Here is a 22,099-nt window from a genome sequence, read left to right on the forward strand (position 1 = left end):
TTCTAGGTTTTTTTGTAGTTTCAGGTCTTAATATTTAGGCTTTAATCTGTTTTGAGTTGACTTTTGTGTTTGATGAGAAGTCTGGGTCTAGTTTCGTTCTTCTAAATATGGCTATCCAATTTCCCAGCACCATTTGTTGAATAGGGTGTCCTTTCCCCGGTGTATGTTTTTGTTGACTTTGTTGAAGATCATTTTGGTTGTAGGTATGCAGCTTTATTTCTGGGTTCTCTATTCTGTTCCATTGATTGATGTGTCTGTTTTTATACCAGTACCATGCTGTTTTGGTTACAATAGCCTGGTAGTATTATTTGAAGTCAGGCAATATTGATCAAAGCTTATTCTGAATGACATATATAAGGTTCTTCATCACCACCTCTTTTGCCTCATTACTCTGTTTCTTGGCCAGTCTCTCTCGTTTTTGTTTTTTTTGTTTTGTTTTGTTTTGTTTTTGAGACTCTCTCTCTTTGTCACCCAGGCTGGAGTGCAGTGGCACAGTCTCAGCTCACTGCAACCTCCGCCTCTTAGGTTCAAGAAATTCTCCTGCCTCAGCCTTCCAAGTAGCTGGGATTACAGGCGCCTGCCACCATGCCCAGATAATTTTTGTATTTTTAGTAGATACGGGGTTTCACCATGTTGGCCAGGCTGGTCTCGAACTCCTGATCTTAGGTGATCCGCCTGCCTCGGCCTCCCAGAGTGCTGGGATTACAGGTGCGAGCCACTGTGCTGGCCTCTCTAGTTCTTTTTACAAGTCATTTGCCTTTGGACTTTTAAGATCTAAAAAGTATCACATTGCTTATGGGTATTTTTTTGAGATTGTATAATTTAACTAGGAAACATGATTTTAGGAGTCATAGTGTAATGATTAGGTGTGGAGACTCTTGACTGTCAGCCTGTGTTTGTATCTCTGCACCATGACTTAATACTTTTACGAATTTTTTTTTTTTTTGGAGACAGTCTTGCTCTGTCGCCAGACTGGAGTGCAGTGGCGTGATCTTGGCTCACTGCAATCTCCGCCTCCGGGGTTCAAGCAATTCTCCTGCCTCAGCCTCCTGAGTAGGTGGGACTACAGGCACGTGCCACCATGCCCAGCTAATTTTTTTTGTATTTTTAGTAGAGGCGGGGTTTCACCATGTTGGCCAGGATGGTCTCGATCTCCTGATCTCGTGATCTGCCCGCCTCGGCCTCCCAAGTGCTGGGATTACAGGCGTGAGCCACCATACCTAGTCTTTACCAAATTATTAATCTCTCCAAGCTGTACCCTCCTCATCTTTTAAAGGAGTTGAAATTAAACCTTTCTTATGAAGTAGTGAGAGAGAACTAAATGAGAAACACCATGTTAAAATAGTGCAGTTCTGATTTTTTGTAGCTCGTAATTTCGTTTGTATTGATACTGATTTCTGTATCTGGGAATTAGGTTACTGAACATGTATTGCTACTTGAGTTGCTTTGTGCTCGAATTATATCAGTAGATAAGAAAATAAATAATTAAAATTTATTGTTTTATGGGATGGGAAAAGGAAAGTCATTATTTTAAGCAAGATATCAAATGCTTAATCTGTTTGTGATATTTGGGGGTTTTTAGCTATTAAACACCTTTATTTTTGAAAATTCTGCAGAAAAAAATTATTCAACAGATACTCGGTTTCAGCTGTGTATCAGGGAAACATGCAGAATGACATGGTTTCCTGCACAGTCAAACTTGCATTCAGTTGGGGCAAGAAAAAAATAATGAAACATTAAAAAAAAAAAAAGATAAGTGATATTAACACAAAGGGCTTCCCTAAAGAAAAAACAGAAGGCTACCTAGGATGACTAGGCAATGCCTTTTAAATATGGAACTGAAGCATGTTGAAGGAACTGGCCATCTAAGATGGCTGGTGTTGTGTAAAGGCCCTGGGGCAGGAAAAGGTGTGGCCTGCTGAAGTAACACCGGGAAGATGAGTGTGGTGGGTGGAGGATTGTTGAGGGCTGGGAGCCAGAAATAAAATGAGGGGTTTTGCGCACACGCGTGCGTGTGTGTGTGTGTGTGTGTGTGTGTTTACTTGACTTTTGCAACTGGCTGAAGAACAGATTATAGATATGGAGACAAGAGTTGGAAACAGGGTGTAATCCCATCTAGAGACTGTTGTGGGCTTGTCTTCAGTGATGACAGTAGAGAATGAAGAGATGGGTTTGGGGTGTAATTTAGAGATAGGACCTACCAGGTATGCTGGTAAGTGAGGTGTGGAAGGAAGAGGAAAAGGAACTGAAATCACCAGGGTTTTTGTCCAAGTGCTTAGGTAAATAGAGGTGCCATTTGTTTAAAGAGAGCAGACAGACAATGGTGGGACACATTTGAGAGGGAAATCTGAATTGCAATTAGTTGAGGAATGAGTGGAATGTGAGAAAGTGGACACATGTTCAATAGCTATGGCTGTGATGAGAAGACAGCAGATGGTTCCTCAAAGAGGAATTAGGATGAAGTCAAAGGTGGGAGGTGTGTTTTTGTTTTAGAGTGAAATATAGGACATAGTTAACTACTGACCCAGGATAATTACACAGAGGGGTAAAGATGTTGGTGGAGAAGAGGGAGGATAACCAAATCCAGTTTGGTTTGAGTGTGAGGCAACAATAAAGGTAATGGTCCCCAGAACACAAGCAGAAGAAAGGATAGTTTTAAGTGAGGTAAGTTTATGAGGAAAATAGGTTTCATTTATTCAGAGTGTTGTCTGTATTGAGAGGAGGGAGCATAGGAGTCTGTAAGAAGTGACTTGGAATATTAGCGCTTTGGGCATTTTACCAACTTTGTATAGTGTACAAGATTTTAACTTTCTAGCTCCTAACCTCTCTTTCCCCCGTTTCAGTTATATAAGGTATCAAAGGGAAACTGTGAACTTGTTCCATCGGAGTTGATGGTTTGAAATACCATCCCTTCCCCAGCATGTTTTCAGAATTTGGTGTCTCTTCTTACCAGTTGCCTTCCCTGACCTCCTGCTAATTCTCCCTTACCTTCATACCTCATTTTTCTATTGTACTCTGAAACATATTATATGAGTTTCCTGTTGCTACTGTAGTAAGTTACCACAAACTTATTGGTGTAGAACAACACAGATTAACTGTCTTCTAGTACTGTAGGTTAGAAGTGTGACACAGGGCTCACTGTACTAAAATCAGGGAGCCGGCATTCCTTTTTGGAGACTCCGGGGAAGAATTTTTTTCCTGATCCTGTCCTACCATACCTTGGCTGGTAGCCCCTTTCTGCATCTTCAAAGGCAACAGCATAACATCTCTCATCCTGGTTTTGTCTCCTCCTCCTCACACCTGTTTCTCTGACCCTCTCATCTGCCTCCTCCTACTACTATTAAGGATTCATGTCATTACACTGGACCCACCTGGATAATCCAGAATGAGGTCTCTGTCTTAAAGTCAGCTGATTAGCAACCTTAATTTTATCTATAACCGCAATTTCCCTTTGCCTTGTAACCTATTTATAGGTTCCAGGGATCAAACCAGAGGGCATCTTTGGGGGACCATTACCTACTACATATATGTTGTAATTTATACTGTTACTCATCTTTGTATTCCCAGCATAGTAGTTCCTGAAATGTTGTATACATGAATCAATAAATGTATAGAGAATGCTTATTTATTAAATGTTCCTTTTTTTCCCCTCCACCCTCCCTTTTTAGTGACGGGTCAGTCTTACGAGAATATGGTAACTGAGATCATGTCAATGGGCTATGAACGAGAGCAAGTAATTGCAGCCCTGAGAGCCAGTTTCAACAACCCTGACAGAGCAGTGGAGTATCTTTTAATGGTGAGAAATATGTTTTACTTTACTCCATTCTGTTGTTTAAGATTAAAATCTCAAAGAAACAGATTTTAAAGGACCAGTTCACTTGTCACTGATATATGCTAGATGATATACATAATGCTTTTTTTTTTCTAGTATGTTTGTATTTTGTGTTAATAAAATGTAACCTTTTTTAATCTAATGGTCCAACATTGTAGTAGCTTTTTAGGTGCCACTATGCGTGAATTATTCAGAACAAAAATTTCTTTTTTCTTTTTTTTTTTTTTTTTTTTGAGACGGAGTCTCGCTCTGTCGCCCAGACTGGAGTGCAGTGGCATGATCTCTGCTCACCACAAGCTCCACCTCCCAGGTTCACGCCTTTCTCCTGCCTCAGCCTCCTAAGTAGCTGGGACCACAGGCGCCTGCCACCATGCTCGGCTAATTTTTTTGTATTTTTAGTAAGATGGGATTTCACCATGTTAGCCAGGATGGTCTTGATCTCCTGACCTCGTGATCCGCCCGCCTCAGCCTCCCAAAGTGCTGGGATTACAGGTGTGAGCCACCGTGCCTGGCCAAAATTTCAAGCTTGAGAATCCGGGCCAAATTCTTTTGCTTATACTGTGTATATTTCTGTAATAAGTTGCCAGCTTTTTAAAAACTGGGAAATTTCACATAAAAGTACAGATTTCTGGTTTAACTGGACAACTTTGATCCCAGATTTTTGCAAGGGATTAAGGAAAATATTTTAGATCGTGGAATCTAATTCATTATCCTCTGATTCACTCTGTTACCAACGTAACATCATGCATTTAATGAATGATGTTACTACCTGGTTCCGTTGGCATTTGAATTTGTTTTTATAGTCAGTAGGAGTTGAGGGACTTTTTGAATAAAGTATTCTTTTTTTTACTGGTAATGGGAGTTTTTGAGAAATAGGTTGTTGTGGACATCAACTGAAACCCTTGGTATTAAGATGAAAGTCTGCTAGTTTTACAGATGTGACACAGGCTAAAGTAATTGAATTAAGTTTTTTAAAATCTCAGACTTCTATAATTGTCTGGTGTTTTGGAGTATTATCAAAGTCTGAATTGCCCTAAATATCATCTTAAAGTTGCCTGATTCTAACCCTTTTGGGAATTACATCCACAGTTTAACCCATTCCTTTGTGTCTAGGTTGTACTTCTGTTAAAAACTCCTTTCAGGTAGCTAGCTAGTTTCAGAAGAGTCAGTTATAAGCCTCATAACTGTACTCTGCCTCCACCATTTATTTGCCTATGCCTTTGCATGTGAAGTTCACAAAACCTTTTTCTTAGCATATTATTTTATCTTTTTAAATTCACTTTTTCATTATCTTCTTGAGTAGTGTCTTTAAATGCTGGCAGTTTATCCAGTTTGTTTGGAATTGTGGAATTAATAATTGTTGTGAATTTGTTTGGTGAGGAGTGTGTACCCTAAACAGATTGTATAAAAGTATTAGCTTTTATGGAGTGGCTTTCATTTACACCTGATTTAGAATTCTGTATAAGTTCAACAGTATCAGTTATTTTGATCTAATAGATGTGGAGTTTTGAGGTATAAAAATACAGAATCATTGTTACCAAATGCTAAAACTGCTGTAGAGCATCAAATGCAAATAAATAGATGATACATGAGTTCATCAAAAACAATTTATAACTAAAATGTTTTTTATATATTTGCTCTTTGTTTCATAGACTGAAGGGGAAAAGTTGCTTTTAACTGTTACTAGTTAAGAGATAGGTTAAGGTGAACGGATGGAAAGAAGAAATGTTGAGCATTTATATAAGAGGCTATGTAATGTGTGAGAATAGAGGTCGATCTATAGCAATAAAGATGAACTTTTTAGTTTAATAAAAGAGAATTTGATGGACGCCCTGGATCCTAAATTTGTATGTAGTTTGTTAGCACTTAAATAACTGCCCATCTGAGTTAAGGGTTTGCGTTGGTTAACTCATTCAAAAACATTGGTTTTAATGCCTGGAGTGACATCTAATCCATGCAGCCATTTTCCTGCTGTGTTACTCTTCATCCTTTATATGTTGTTGCTTTTGGCTTCTGGTTTATTAGGGAATGGAAGCATTTATCATCTTATTCAATTGTAATACTTGGTTCTTTATTCTCTTCAAAATCTATAAGAACTTGATAAAGACTTTTTAAAAATTTTAAATGACAAGTCTATCAATCATGTGCATCAAAATAGGTGTCCCAAAAGAGTTTAGTGCATGCAGTTTTAAGCTCTTAATAACTTTAAAAGATAAGTACTATAAACTTACAAAAGGCATCACCTAAAAACTAAATGGTTTCAATTTCTTTTATATCGATTTTATGAATTTTGAAAAATTAAATTTTTTGAGATACTTTATCTCATTTTTTGAGATACTTTAAGTATCTCATTTATGAGATACTTTAAGTATCTCATTTATGAGATACTTTGACACTTTAAGAAACACTTCACTGAAAAGTACCTCAAATTTATGAGATACTTTCTGAGTGACACTTTCTCAGTACCATGGATCAGTAGGGGAGATCCTCCTGCCTGGCCACTGTGTACCTGGTCTGTATCCATTAGATATTTTTTCCCCCAGGAGTCATTTCAGAACTGTCAAGTGTGCATCAAAACCTCTTTTTGGATTATCTTAAGCTAGAGTTGCAAACTCAATCCTTTTTATCACTGAGTAACAGCTGATAAAGATTTCTAAGAAGTTAAAAAGTCAACTGAACTAATAGGTAGCACAAAAACCTTTGGTTGTGTTCAGTTTTAAGAAGGTACATGTATCAATATTTTTCAAATTTGATGCTAATTACGTGTGCCTGGTAGGTGTCTTATTGAACAACACAGAGAATATTTCCATCATCATGGTAAGTTCTGTTGGACAGTGCTGCTTTGCATTATTATAGCAATGTGGGTTTTTCTATAATGCACCCAGGTCATTTCTAATCTAATTTGAATCCATGCAGCTTAATAATCCTTTACTTTTAATTGAAGCAGACATCTGTTTGATGCTTTTGAAAATCAAACAAGATGTTAAATAGACTATAAATCTTTTACTCTGTATAATATTTAATTTTGCATGATGGGATATCTTAAAGCTTGGAAATTCTATTACAGGGAATCCCTGGAGATAGAGAAAGTCAGGCTGTGGTTGACCCCCCTCAAGCAGCTAGTACTGGGGCTCCTCAGTCTTCAGCAGTGGCTGCAGCTGCAGCAACTACGACAGCAACAACTACAACAACAAGTTCTGGAGGTAAAGCGGAATCTTCTGGATGGGGAGGGAATGGCCCTGAATTTTTAGTGTAAAATAATTTAACCTGAAATACTTCAGAAATGACGTTCATTCCCAGAGCAGTCGAATAATTCGTTAAGTTCTCTCTTCACTAATGTTTGAGAAAGGCCCAAAAGAAACTTTCCCAAGTGGATGTAAAAGGTATCCTTGCTGATATTAAACATCAGTGTTGCAGTTTTGCCGAAGGGCATATTCTGTTTTATTTGTTTTAAGGAAAAGATGCTTTCCAGTTTGTATTTAGTGTTACTTTCTGATGCCATTCAGAATGGTTTGCTCACTTTGTCTCTTACTCTCTCCATAAATGTTACAAAGTGTATGTAATTTCAAAGCCAGCAGGATTTTAGTAATTATACAGCCAAGGAAATGAAACCGTGAGAGGTTTAAAACCTTGTATCTAGAGGAGAAAGCAAAGCTTGAATTGAAGTCTCTTTACTGGGGTGCTGACCATACCCCACACATTGCTATAGGTCTGACTACAGAGCAAAGCCTGGAACCTGCGGTCAGCTTAGGAATTACGCAGTGTTCTCCTTCGTTCGTTCTTCTGTATATTAATAAAGTAATTTAAACTGTTGATCTTGAAAAGGCCATTCTTCCATGCATTTCCTAGCTCTGATAATGATAGTCACCTCTGGTTGACAAAGGTCACTCAGTGCTTTGTGTACAGTCTCCCAAGGACAGGCCCTTTGTTTGTTGTGATTCAGCATATGGGAGTGGAAAGAGATGACCACAGCTCTGCTTTGGATTTGGGGTCCTGTTCCTTTCAGCACTTATTAGGTGACATAGTCTCTAAGTCTCGTTGCCTTCACCTGTAAAGCTGGTATTATATATGGAAGAACAAAAAACCCATGTGCTGTGGTCATTTCAATTGGAATGATTGTCTTCCTGAATAGGAAATTACAACATACATCTAAAAATTCTCTTTTATTCATTAGTAACCTCAAAAACAATTCCTGTATGTACGATTTTTGGTTTCCTATAGCATAACCAGACAAGTACCAGCACCCTGAAAAAGCCAGAAGTTCTGTATTTTATATTTTATTTGGCATTATTAACATTTATTATTGTGAATGGATTTTAGACTGAAGAGTTTAGATATATTAGTACTAGATTGCCATACAGCTTATTTATCCGAGTTTTTGTAGTTCACAAATGTTTGAAAATTAATGGTAATAACCGGAAGTCTTCCTTAATGTAAGTTTGGATTAAAGTTTCTCCTGATTTGCAAAACCTGACCTCAGACTTTAAATATCTTTTTCTTCTTTGGTTTCTTGAATTCCTAGGAATTCAAGCTCAGATTGTGTTCTTTTAGGGGTTTTCATTGTTTATAAAGTAAGTGAGTTTTTGTTTTTGTTGTGGTGTATATTTTTCTTAGGAACTTTTAAGCAACAGGAACAACTTTTAGTACTTTTTATTTTGATAGAACACACACAGGAGACAAGTTTCTAGTATTATTTTATAACGTTGAGTGCCAAGGGCAATTATAGGAAAGTTTGGTTCATATTACAGTCAGCGTTCTGCACTCCCTGCCTTTGCTAATAGGAGTAATTTTTGCCGTATAAAACTTGCAAGTTGGTACAGTTGGAAGATTTCATCATTATTTACTTCATTTTATTACATCTGAGAACTCAAATCATTTTTTCTTTGATAGTGTTTGCTGTCTAAATGTATTATTTAACCACTGTTTGTGTATGTATTTACTGCTTTTGTTTAGAAATGTTTATGTGTATTTTAGGACATCCCCTTGAATTTTTACGGAATCAGCCTCAGTTTCAACAGATGAGACAAATTATTCAGCAGAATCCTTCCTTGCTTCCAGCGTTACTACAGCAGATAGGTCGAGAGAATCCTCAATTACTTCAGGTGACTAATCAGTGTCAGTTTCACAAGTGATTTAGAGTGTGTCACAATTTGAAAAAGTCCATGAACGGTCCTTCCCCTCCTCAAATACAACTCTGTATTTGAGAATGTGAATGTTTTCTTCCAAGCTACACTTAGATATTGTAATCTAGATAGGTGTACTAAAAAAACAGTTGGGATATGGAGGTTGGGTTAAATTAAGTTGACCAAATAGTAGTAAGTTTGGGAAACATTTTATATTTCCTTTTTGGAGATTCCCACTACACATTAATATGTTAAAGAATTTGGGAAGCTGTTTAACAGAGAAACTGCCTAACTTTAAATCACTTTTCACAAGCTTATTACTCAGTTCCTTTTTCTTAGGAACTTTTAAGCAACAGGAACAACTTACTCTTAGAAAAAATAGCTGTGGGGCTTCTTTAGTGATCAGATCACCAAGTATTTGAATTTTATACAGCATTTTAATGCCCACTAGTGTGGAAGGTAAAAAATACATGCAAGTATTAAGAATAAGTTCTATTCTTATAGTCCCACAGTAGTTTTTTTTGTTTGTTTTTTGTTTGTTTTGTTTTTTTAAGCACAGGAGGCTCAGAGCACTTAAGAATTTGAATTTCTTCACTGTTTACTTTGCCCAAAAGTACTGAATTTCTTTACTATTGTATAAGAAATCACATCCTTCCAAAGACTGAATAATCCAGAATCACTAAATTACGTTTGCAAAAGTGTAGCCTTTTCTCTTAGTAATATTTAGAATTTCTCTGTTCCTGCAGATACTTAATATCAGTGTATTATTTTTCTCTGTCCTTCATATCACCACAGCAAATTAGCCAACACCAGGAGCATTTTATTCAGATGTTAAATGAACCAGTTCAAGAAGCTGGTGGTCAAGGAGGAGGAGGTGGAGGTGGCAGTGGAGGAATTGCAGAAGCTGGAAGTGGTCATATGAACTACATTCAAGTAACACCTCAGGAAAAAGAAGCTATAGAAAGGGTGAGTTTAAGTAAAACTTTAAAAAAATTAGTTCTTGGCTGGGCTCATGCCTGTAATTCCAGCACTTTGGGAGGCCAAGGCAGGTGGATCACCTGAGGTCAGGAGTTCAAGACCAGCCTGGCCAACGTGGTGAAACCCCATCTCTACTAAAAATACAAAAATTAGCTGGCGTGGTGGCACATACCTGTAATCTCAGCTACTTGGGAGGCTGAGGCAGGAGAATTGCTTGGACCTGGGAGGTGGAGGTTGCTGTGAGCCGAGATTGTGCCACTGCACTCCAGCCTGGGCAACAGAGTGAGACTCTGTCTCAAAAAAAAAAAAAAAAAAAAAAAAAAAATTCCTTAGTCACACTAGCCCCATTTCAAATGCTCAGAAGTCACATATTAATAATAAGGTTTTTCTATAATTTCTTTCAATAGTGTCCTGTAGTTTTCAGTGTAGAAGTTGTGTAATACTTTTGTTAAAATTATTTCGAAGTATTTTTATTCTTTTTGATGCTGTTATAAATGGATTTTTCTCTTAATTTCATTTTCAGACTGTTCATTGCTAACTATATAAAAATACAATTTAATTGTGTATATTGATCTTTTATCATAAAACCTTCTTGAACTGTTATTTATTCATTAAGTAGTTTGTGCATGTGTTCATTAGGATTTTCCATATACAAGGTCATGTCATCTGCACATGGAGACAGTTTTACTTCTTTTCCAATATGGATACCTTTTATTTCTTTGTCTTATTTAACTGCCCTATCTGGAGCCTCCAGTATATTATTAGACTAGCAAGAACCAACAACATCCTTGTCTGGTTCTTGATCTTAAGGGAAAGCATTCAGTCTTTCATCACTAAGTATGATATTATCTATGGGTTTTTTGTGGATGCCCTTTATCAGATTGAAGAAATTCTCTTCTGTTACTAGTTTGTTCATCACGAAAAGGTGTTGGATTTTGTCAAATTTTTTTTCTTTCTTTATTAAGATGATCATGTGATTTTTGTCCTTTAGTATGCTTTATTACATTGATTGATTTTGTATGTTGAACCAACCTTGCATTTCTGAGATAAATTTTACTGGTTACAGCATATGATCTTTTTTATATGTTGCTGGATTTAGCCTGCTTGTATTTTGTTGAGGATTTTTGCATCTGTTCATAAGTCATATTGGTCTGTAGTTTTTTTGTGATGTTTTTGTCTGAATTTGGTGTCTGGGTAATACTGGCCTCTTAGGGTGAGTTGGGAATTATTCTCTCCTGTTGTCTGGAAGTATTTATTAAGAATTGGTGTGGGCTAACACGGTGAAACCCCGTCTCTACTAAAAATACAAAAAAAATTAGCCAGGCGTGATGGTGGGCGCCTGTAGTCCCAGCTACTCGGGAGACTGAGGCAGGAGAATGGCGTGAACCCGGGAGGCGGAGCTTGCAGTGAGCCGAGATTGCGCCACTGCACTCCCGCCTGGGCCACAGAGCGAGACTCTGTCTCAAAAAAAAAAAAAAAAAAGAATTGGTGTGAATTTTTTGAATAGTTGATAGAATTCACCAGTAGTCTGGTCCTGGGCTTTTTTTGGGGGGAAGTTTTGTGATTATTGATTCAGTCTCTTGTTACTTGTCTATTCAACTTTTGTATTTCTTTTTTTTTTTTTTTTTTTTTTTTGAGACAGAGTCTCGCTCTGTTGCCCAGGCTGGATTGCAGTGGCGTGATCTCCGCTCATTGCAAGCTCCACCTCCTGGGTTCACACCATTCTCCTGCCTCAGCCTCCCGAGTAGCTGGGACCACAGGCACCCGCCACCATGCCCGGCTAATTTTGTTTTGTATTTTTTTAGTAGAGACGGGGTTTCAACATGTTAGCCAGGGATGGTCTCGATCTCATGACTTCGTGATCCACCCGCCTCGGCCTCCTAAAGTGCTGGGATTACAGGCGTGAGCCACTGCACCCGGCCAACTTTTCTATTTCTTTTAGAGTCAGTTTTGGTGGTTTTTGACTTGGAATTTGTCTATTTTATCTAAGCTGTCTAATTTGTTGGCGTGCAATTGTACATATTTCCTTATAATCATTTTATTTCCTCTTTTGATAAAGTAATAATGTTCCTGCATTTATTCCTGATTTCAGTCATTTGAGTCCTAAGATATTTTTGTTTTTTCCCTTCAGTTTAGCTAAAGGTTTTAATTTTGTTCATTTTGTGGTGGTTGTTGTTAATGACAAAAATAACTTTGGGTTTTGTTGATTCTCCCTATTGTTTTTCTAGTCTTTTGTTTTGTTTTGTTTTAAGTCTCTCTAATGTTTATTTCCCTCTTGCTTGCTTCTAGTTTGTTCTTCCTTTTTTAGGTTAGGTTTAGTTTAGTTCTTTGTTTAGTTTTAGTTTAAGATTAAATTATTATCTATCTTTGTTAGCATAGATGTTTATAGCTATAATATTCCTTCTGCGTTTATGCTATAGTAGCATCCCATAAGTTTTAGTATGTTGTATTTTTGCTTTCTTTCATCTCAAAATGTTTTTTAATTTCCCATTTGGTTTCTAATTTAATTCATTCGTTATTTAGGATTGTGTTAATTTCCACAAGTTTATGAATTTCCCACATTTTCTCCTTTCGATTTCTAAATTCATTCCATTATAATCAGAGAATATACTTTCAATACTTTTCAACTTATTGAGGTTCGTTTTGTGGCCTAACATGGTATTTCTGAAGAATGTTCTATGTATACTGAAGAAGAATATAGTGTAGTTCTTATTAAGTGGTCTATAAATATCTGATAGATCTAGTTTGTAGTCAAGTCTTCTTCCTTAGCTGTTTTATCTATTATTGAAGGTGGAGCTGTAGTTGTCTCTATTATTGTTAATTGCCAATTTCTACCTTTAATTCTCAGTTTTTATTTTATGTATTTTGTGGCTCTGTTATATATAATTGTTGTGTCTTCCTGAACCCTTTTTATCATAAAATGCCTTTTGTCTATAGTAACAATTTTTATCTTAAATCTGTTTCCTCTGATATAGCCATTCTAGCTCTTTTTTGGTTACCATTTGCATAGTATATACCTTTTTCTATCATTTTACTTTCAACCTACTTGTGTCTTTGAATCTAAATTGTGTGTTTTGTAGAAGCAGGCAGTTGGATTGTACCCTTTACTTCACCTATCCTAGCTTTAATCTGGATAAAACCCAGATAACAAACTGATTTTTTAGTTTCTTCTGCTTTCATAGATGAATAGTTATTCGTGATGAATTGGGATTTTTGCCCAAATTTTAAGGGTTATTTCCAAATATAATCTGACACAGCAGTCTTTAACCTTTTTGGCACCAGGGACCAGTTACGTAGAAGACCTTTTTTTCTACCAACATAGGTGGGGTGGGCGCAGTGATTTTGGGATGAAACTGTTCCACCTCCGATCATCAGGCGTTAGTTAGGTTAGGAAGTGGGGTGGGGCGGTGGTTTTGGGATGAAACTGTTTCATCTCACATCATCAGGCATTTGTTAGGCTATCATACGGAGCACAGACCCTAGATCCCTCTCATGCACAGTTCACAGTAGGGTTCATGCTCATATGAGAATCTAATGCCGCCACTGATACAACAGGAGACGGAGCTCAGGTGGTAATTCGAGTGATGGGGAGTGGCTGTAAATACAGATGAAGCTTCACTTGTTCGCCCACTGCTCACCTCCTCCCGTGCGGCCCAGTTCCTTGCTCACCCACTGCTCACCTGCTCCTGGGCAGCCCAGTTCCTAACAGGCCAATGGCTGGTGCCAGTTCACGGTCTTGGGGTTTGGGACCTGTGATCTAACTCAAGGTGATTGAGACAATTGAGGAGGGTGACATTTGGCTGAGTTTTTAAAGGCTTTTAAAAGGAGTGAGTATTGTCACAAGTGATTTTTAATATAATAGACTAGGAAAATGAAATTAAGTAGCTGGTATTACCATTTAAAATGCTGTAACTGTTAAGCAGATAAAAATAGAACATTATCTTCAAAATGTACCATGTATTACTAATAATTGGTCACCTGTTTTTCTAGTATGGAGTGTTGAATAAAGCAAGGAGATTGAGAGTGATGTTTGATCCAAATGAAAGACATGAGTTGACATTAATAAATAAAACATAATTTGCTTTTAATTTAGAAATAGGTGAGGTGGTTAAACTATACTGCAGGTACTCTCATCCTTATCTTCACTCTTAATATACTAAAAGCCATTTGATTTACATATTTCTGTAGAGTCATTTATTTTTAAACCATAGCAGTTAGCAGCTAATTTTTAATTAGGCCAAAGAGTATTTGCATAGTATCTATTAAGCTTTAACTAGAAACAAAGACTTTTTTAGGTGATTAGTAAAGGAAAGGGTCTAGATTCCATCTAATCCCTTGGGTTGGGCAGTAAATCCATATTGATAGAGATGAATTCATGTAAAATTCTCAAGAGCTTTTTTGGGTTGCAGTATGTTTTTGAGTAATGATTTATCTTTAGTGCTATGCTGGAATCTATAATATGTAAATAAAATTAAATGTGCCATAATTGGTGTGTTGGATTTATATTTTTTTCCTTTTTCTTCCAGTTAAAGGCATTAGGATTTCCTGAAGGACTTGTGATACAAGCGTATTTTGCTTGTGAGAAGAATGAGAATTTGGCTGCCAATTTTCTTCTACAGCAGAACTTTGATGAAGATTGAAAGGGACTTTTTTATATCTCACACTTCACACCAGTGCATTACACTAACTTGTTCACTGGATTGTCTGGGATGACTTGGGCTCATATCCACAATACTTGGTATAAGGTAGTAGATTGTTGGGGGTGGGGAGGGAGGGATCTAGGATACAGGGCAGGGATAAATACAGTGCATGTCTGCTTCAATTAGCAGATGCCGCAACTCCACACAGTGTGTAAAATATATACAACCAAAAATCAGCTTTTGCAGGTCTTTATTTCTTCTGTAAAACAGTAGGTAACTTTTCCTAGGTTTCACTCTTTTTAGTGTACTAGATCCAGAAACTTAGTGTAATGCCCTGCTTTATATTTCTTTGACTTAACATTGGTTTCAGAAAGAATCTTAGCTACCTAGAATTTACAGTCTCTGTTTCATGGCAACACTGGATAATGGCTTTGTGAAATTTAAAAAATTTTTGTAGCGACTGTAAACAGAAATGCCAAATTGATGGTTAATTGTTGCTGCTTCAAAAATAAGTATAAAATTAATATGTAAGGAAGCCCATTCTTTCATGTTAAATACTTGGGGTGGGAGGGGAGAAAGGGAACCTTTTCTTAAAATGAAAATAATTACTGCTATTTTAAAATTTCTTGATCATTGAATGTGAGACCCTTCTAACATGATTTGAGAAGCTGTACAAGTATAGGCAGAGTTATTTTCCTGTTTACATTTTTTTTTTGTTTTGGGGAAAAAATTGGTAGGTGTCTAATTACTGTTTACTTCATTGTTATATTGCAGTAAAAGTTTTAAAACAACCATTGCATGTTTGCTTTTGATGTATCCCTTTGTGAAATTAGCACTTTTGGGGCCAATGGAGAAATGCAGCATTCACTCTCCCTGTCTTTTCCCCTTCCCTCAGCAGAAACGTGTTTATCAGCAAGTCGTGAGTCAAACTGCTGCCTTTTAAAAAACCCACAAAATGCTGATTCAGTTCAAAATTAATGCAAATGTTTCAAAACTGGGTTTCTGATATTTGTAAATGTGTTTCTTTATTAGATAAGAGTGTATTACCATTAAAGTCATTAGTATAATATTGCTTTCAAAAAGAAATGGTAGACAAAACTATAATCCAGCATCTTTTATTGCATTGGAAAGACTGGCAAAGTCTTTTGGATGGGTTGGGAGATGTGGCTGGAAAGTACTTTGGAAAATATACAATCAAGATATCTCATGGCATATTAAAAGAAAAATCTTAATAGCAGTGTTGGCTTTTATTTGGATTTTTTCATCTCAGTTTTTTCTGTGGAATCTCCTTCATTGGCATTGTTATTTAATCATAAACGGGGCAGATGTCTACTTGTTCAGTTTTTCAAATCTGTTTTCCTGAGTATAAATAAGAGTATTTAAAGAAATAATTTGGATTGCTTTTGTTTTTTGTTTCCTTTTTTTTAACCATCTGATACTAAGAAGATGAATTTGCACAGATTTCTCTGCATAATTTCTCAATATCTTTAGCACAGTATGGTGATGATGACTTTTAAGCATTTACATCACGTACTCATAACCTATTATGAAAATAAATGAAACTGGCTGGGTATGGTGGCTCATGCCTATAATCCCAGCACTTTGGGAGGCCGAGGTGGGCAGATCACTTGAGGCCAGGAGATTGAGACCAGCCTGACCGTCATGGCGAAACCCCGTCTATACTAAAAATACAAAAAATAGCCAGGCATGGTGGCGCACGCCTGTGGTCCCAGCTACTTGGGAGGCTGAGGCATGAGAATTGCTTGAACCCGGGAAGTGAAGGTTGCCGTGAGCTGAGATCACACCACTGCCATAAACATGACAGGCTTTTGGACTTTGTATTACCTGTATGTTTTATAATGGATCATGCATAATTTCTCAGGAGAATAAAATGAGAATTCATATATACGTTCATCTTTCAAGTCAGAGCAATGAGTTGGGAAAAGAGGTGGCATTTCTGATCGGATAATGGAATACTCTCATTTATTTTATGACATTCTCTGTCTACTCAGATCATAGTGAAAACTGGAAACAAAAAAAAAAAACAGCCTCTTCTTGGAAAGTGACAGCAGAAGGTGGCATGGAGCTTGTGTCCTTGGACAACAAATCTGGATATACTAGGATTAATTATCAGAAGACAGCTCAGGCCAAGTTTTGATCGTTCCATACAGTACCTTGTTTATCTGCTTCTTAAAGAATCAGCCGAGACACCATAAAAGAAATAGGCTTTTTGTGCCTTTTGCTGTTAATGTTTAATTTACAAACTGTTTTGGTAAATCTCTTAATGTAAGTAGCTATTTGACTTTGGAATTTTGCATTCGAGGTATACTGTCATTTCTTGAAATCTTTTTCTCGTTTAGTTGCTCTGTGGGAAATGTGAGGAAGCCTAAGTTTGTATTTGTAAATTTCTTATGCCATCCTCTAGTCAAATTTTTTTTCATTGTTTAAAAATACGGAAGTGTTCCAATATAATTTTTTCCTGTACTGGATGGCTAGGATTCTAGAGAATTGATTATAAAATATTTTCAATACATCCAACATTGCACTTCTCATTTTTTAAATGATTCTGTCACGTAGAATCAGAATTGAAAGTTGACAATGCTTCTGTCACTGATACTTCTTTTTACTTCAGTAATTGGTGAGTGTATCATATAGGAGGCCCAGGCACTAGATTGACTTTATTGGGTCTCCTGGTTCTTTTCTCAACACAGAGATGGGATACTTGCTGGGATGTTAAGGTTAGTGAGGTCTTCTAGGGAATGCATAAAATTTCCATTGTTCCATACTTGTCTGAAGCAGCCAGCCAAAGCCTGCTGCAAAATGTTCTACCGAAAGTAAGCAATTGGAGGGAATGAGTGTTCCTGACCCAGTCAGTTCTGGTGGATTCTCCAGCCATGAAGTTCAGTTGGCCTCCCCCATCCATTTTCCCCATTTTTTCCCCCTAAGCCAAGGGCTGGCAAACTACAGCTTCATGAGCCAAATCTGGCATATACCTGTTATGTGGTCCATGAACTAAGAGTGATCTTTACATTTTTAAATGGTTTCAATTGTATATGTTTTTTATCACCTCAAAAGTTTCAACTTACATTTCAGTGTCCTTAAAAGTGTTATTGAAACACAGCCATCCTCATTTGTTTACATATTGTCTATAGCTACTTTTGTGCTACAGAAGTTTGCTGTTGGATAGCTGCAGCAGACTGTGGCCTGCAAAGCCTAAATAATCACTATCTGGCCCTTTACAGCAAAGGTTTGGTACCCCTGTTGAAAACTGACTAGTCTACCCTAAGTTATATGATGCTTTTTAATTCCTCTCCTGACATTCTTGGACTCTTGACTTCAGGTCTTAGCTGTAGTCTGGCTTCCATGTGACTGTCACAGATCTTTCCAGAGGAGTGATATAACCCCTATTATCCACTCACAAAGAAAAGGAACATTGTGAGCCTGGTGTGCTGGCCTAGTGGTGTCTAAGTTACTCTTGGATGTTGCTACACTGTTTCTTATTCTTACATTAGGATAATGAAGTCCATCACCACGTTGTCAAAAGCACCTGGCAAAGTGTGACAAGTCAACCAGAAAACAAAAGCCCGATGAAAGCATCTGGAAATTCTTATGCCCTGGGATTGGAGTTGGGGCAACTGGAGGAAGCATCTTAACTGCAGCTGGAAGAAGAGAGTGGGTGGAACCTTAGAGGGAGAAGTTGCAGCAATTGGACCTGTTTTGGTGGGTGGGTGGGTAGCTTCCAGAACTGTGTACTTTGTGGATGGGAGGATGGAAAGGGGAGTGATGAGTCTGAGTGAAGGCTTGGACTTGCTAGGAAAAAGATACTGCATTGTCAGTAACATTTGGGGAACTGCAAGAACAGTTACAAGTTGGTTGTAAAGAGCCTTCACTGGGATGAAGTTAGATTTAGAAAGCAGTGGTACCTCATGTAGGGTTTTCACTGTGGAGAGGAGGCTGGGAGGACCAAAGAAATGGACGACAAGTTTGCTTCATGTGTGGTATGGTGCTTCGGATACCAACATGGTCTCTGCCATTGAACTTGATGTACTGTGACAGTGGCCATTTTAATAGTAATGGATCCTTTACAGATCTAACCTAATTGTCTTCCACGAGCACAAATTAGAAAACAGTCATCCCAGACTTCTGCTTCATGTCTTAGTCATACTTAATTTTCCATTCTTGTTGCCTTTGACTTAACGCACTCCTCATCTTCCTATTCCAGAGCTTCCTAACTCGGCTTGCGATAGGTGTAGATGTTTAGAGATGGTGATTTTCCTCAGCCCATGAGGTCGTCTTCAAGGCAGCTGGGGAACCTGGGCTCTAGCCCCAGGCAACCTCATCTGTTTTCCCAGCGTGTTATACAAGTGCCGTGTTTATCGTGTTGAAAAGATCCGGAAGCTCTCTCCTACATATCTGTTAGCTTTCTAGATGAGCTTTGCGTAAGTCATGGTTCTCCAGAAAAAAACAAACGGAGATTTATTATGGAAGTAGACTCATCTGATTATGGAGACCTAGCAGTTCTACAGTATGCTGTCTGCAAGCTGGAGAACCAGGAGAGGAACTGGTGTAGTTCAGTAAGATCAGAGGCCTGAGATGGCCAAGGGTGGGGTCAGTTGCACTGGTGTAAGGCCCATGGTACCCAGAAAAGGAGAAAGTGGACGTTCCAGCTCAAGAGCAAATTGACTCTTCCTCTGCCTTTTCGTTTGGGCCTTCAACAGAATGGATGACACCCACCTGCATTGGTGAGGGTGGGCATCATCCAGTAGATGTACTCTGGTCTACTGATTGAAATGCTAAACTCTTCTGGAAACACCCTCACCTACACACCAGAAATACCATTTTACCAGCTATCTAGGTATCCCTTCACCCAATCAGGTTGACACAAAACCATCACAGGCTTCTCAGCTGTAAATGGCCCTCCACACTTCAGTGTGCTGACCAGGACTGCAACTGCCGATTGGGTTGCCACCTCAGGCTCTTGGGATGTTTTATATGGATAACTGGATTTGGATGTTGACAGCTTCCACCTCTGTAAGTCCAAAATTGTTTTAAAACTGCTTTTGTTTGGCTGCACAATTGTACAAGCCATATGGGTTTTGTTTGCACACAATAGCAGATTTGAGCACAATAATATTGCTTCAAAATTCATTGAAATTTTGTTGAGAATATTTGGTGGTGGGACTATGTCTTAGAACAGCTTGAGGGTTCAGTTTTTTGTTTATTGAATGATTTTATGGACCCTGGAGTGATTCTTGCAGCTTAACATTTAAGTTCATTGTAGGCGTTTTTTTGTTGTTATTTTTTGTATAGGGAGCTGTCAATTAGGTCTGCTTCTGCTTAACAGCATTTTGACTATAATTTTTATATTGTCTTCGATTCTAAGGAACTTGCAAAGTTAAACTGCTTTTTAACCAGTTTGTTACTACTTAATTGTAAAATATTTTCAGTCATATCTTTAAGTGTTGTAATTCAAGATGGTTTTATAATTTTTATACCATATTTGCATTTTTGCAAAGAGCACTGGCAGTTTCTTCATACTTACACAATTTCACACTTGCAGAAAAAGTTGCAGGAGCAGCACCAGAGCTCCCACATACCCCACCACCACCTTAGAGAACCTTATAAAATTTTACACTTGTACCAACATTGTCCTCCAAGCAAAAGGGCCTGATCCAGGTTAACACACTGTGTTTAACTGCGTTTAATGAATCTCCAGTTCACTTTCTCAGTCCCTCTCCCTCCTTGATCTTTATGACCTTAACATTTTTTGAAGACTGTAGGATAGTTGTCTTATAAAATGTCCCTCAATGTATGTTTGGTGTTTCCTCATTACTACCCTTGGTATGCGTGTTTGGAGGAAACAGAAGTGCTGTTGTGCCCTTCTAGCTGCACCCCATAAGGTGACACAGGGTGTCAATTTGTCCCATCATTGGTGGTGGTCACTTGGACCCTGAGGCAGGTGGTGTCAGCCAGTCTCCCCTGGAAAGTTACTCTTTGTCCCTTTGTATTGGATAAATATTTTATAGGGAGATATTTTGAGCCTTCGTAAATATCCTATTTCTCATCAAAGTTTGGCCCATTCTTTTTAGTATTATTGTTTCTTGCCTACTGTAATGGTTTCCAAGTGGTGATTTTCAAATTCCTTCTACTTTATTAGTTAACATTGTCCTGTATTCTTACTCTTTTTCCCCCCATTTATTAGTCGTATCTGTATGGTCTTTGATTCCTATTTTATTCGATGGTACATAATCCCTTACCATCATTACTTTGATGTTGGAATTGTCCCGAGTTCTGTGATTGTGTGTTTTCTTTTTTTTAGTAGAGACAGGGTTTCACCATATTGGCCAGGCTGGTCCCGAACTCCTGAGCTCAAATGATCCGCCTGCCTCGGCCTCCCAAAGTGCTGGGATTACAGGCGTGAGCCCACTGCACCTGGCTGATTGTGTGTTTTCTTAAAGCTGGCTTCTGTGTTTCGACATGCCATTACCCTCTGAGTACTTCCCTACTTTCTGGCACAGTAATGTATTCCAGGCTCTTGCATTTCCTGTGCCCTAGTCCTGGAATCGGCTATTTATCAAGGAGCTCTAGCTCCCCTTAATGTAGACTGTATTTAGAAAGCAAACCCTTGCTCTAGGCGTGCTCACTGCTATTAGAGTCTCACTGCTCCCAAGCCGTCTAAGTGTGTCCACACAGTAAATACATCCTTACATTTACATTTGATACATAGACACTGAAAAGGGAGTTCACTCTGGTACCATTAATTCTGATCCAATGCCATAAGGTTCAGGCTGGGCGCGGTGGCTGAAGCCTGTAATCCCAGCACTTTGGGAAGCCAAGGTGGGCGGATCGCTGGAGTCCAGGAGTTCAAGGCCAGCCTGGGCAACTTGGTGAAACCCTGTCTCTACGAAAAATACAAAAATTAGCCAGGTATGGTGGTGCATGCCTGTGGTCCCAACTACTTGGGGGTGCTGAGGTGGGAGGATCGCTTGAGCCCAGGAGGTTGAGGCTCCAGTGAGCCGAGATCACGGCACTGCACTCCAGCCTGGGTGACGGGGAGACCCTGTTTCAAAAAATAAAAATGCCATAAGCTTCATTCTATCTTCTCCCTTCCCATATTTCAGACTCCTTCCAGGGCAGTGAGAAACTTGGCTCCCATTATCCTCAGTATAATTTCACCTTCCCTGAAGGTAACCAGCGCCCAGCAGCACTCTGCTCCCTTTCTTGTGCTGAGCTGCCACTCGGCTTGGCCACTTTCCTGCACAGCCGAGGCATTCATATTTGAAGTGGACTTGGAAATGGAAGTGAAATGTCTTTAGATTTCCTAGTGTAGCACTCCTATGATGGAGCTTCTAGGAAAGCTCAGCTACATGGGAAAGGAAGGGCCTTATTTGTTCTGCTCTAGTTGCTGTTCCACTGGAAGGTTACCACCTGCTTGGAGTTTAGGACCAGTGTGTTTCAGGTGCTGCTTGTGGTGAGAGACAGGGTTGGTGGTTAGGGGAAAAAGCAGCCCCACAGGCTAGGCTGGT

At 38.4% G+C, this 22,099-nt stretch overlaps 1 protein-coding gene across 3 annotated transcripts in view; it reads left to right on the top strand.

The window, feature by feature from the left end:
* Positions 1 to 17,111, top strand: part of RAD23B (RAD23 nucleotide excision repair protein B) — a 48,916-nt gene extending 31,805 nt beyond the window's left edge. For 2 of the 3 annotated variants that reach the window (NM_002874.5, NM_001244724.2), the window contains exons 6-10: positions 3,669 to 3,796; positions 6,900 to 7,035; positions 8,807 to 8,934; positions 9,751 to 9,921; positions 14,460 to 17,106. In NM_002874.5, the coding sequence (NP_002865.1) occupies positions 3,669 to 3,796; positions 6,900 to 7,035; positions 8,807 to 8,934; positions 9,751 to 9,921; positions 14,460 to 14,573 (677 nt within the window). In that variant the 3' untranslated portion in view covers positions 14,574 to 17,106. Of the gene's footprint in view, positions 1 to 3,668; positions 3,797 to 6,899; positions 7,036 to 8,806; positions 8,935 to 9,750; positions 9,922 to 14,459 lie in introns of all 3 variants that reach the window. The other variant, NM_001244713.1, reaches the window with a different exon arrangement.
* The last annotated feature ends 4,988 nt before the right edge of the window (positions 17,112 to 22,099 follow it).

This window comes from Homo sapiens, chromosome 9 (genome assembly GCF_000001405.40).
Source record: "Homo sapiens chromosome 9, GRCh38.p14 Primary Assembly".
NCBI classification, from domain to species: Eukaryota; Metazoa; Chordata; class Mammalia; order Primates; family Hominidae; genus Homo; species Homo sapiens.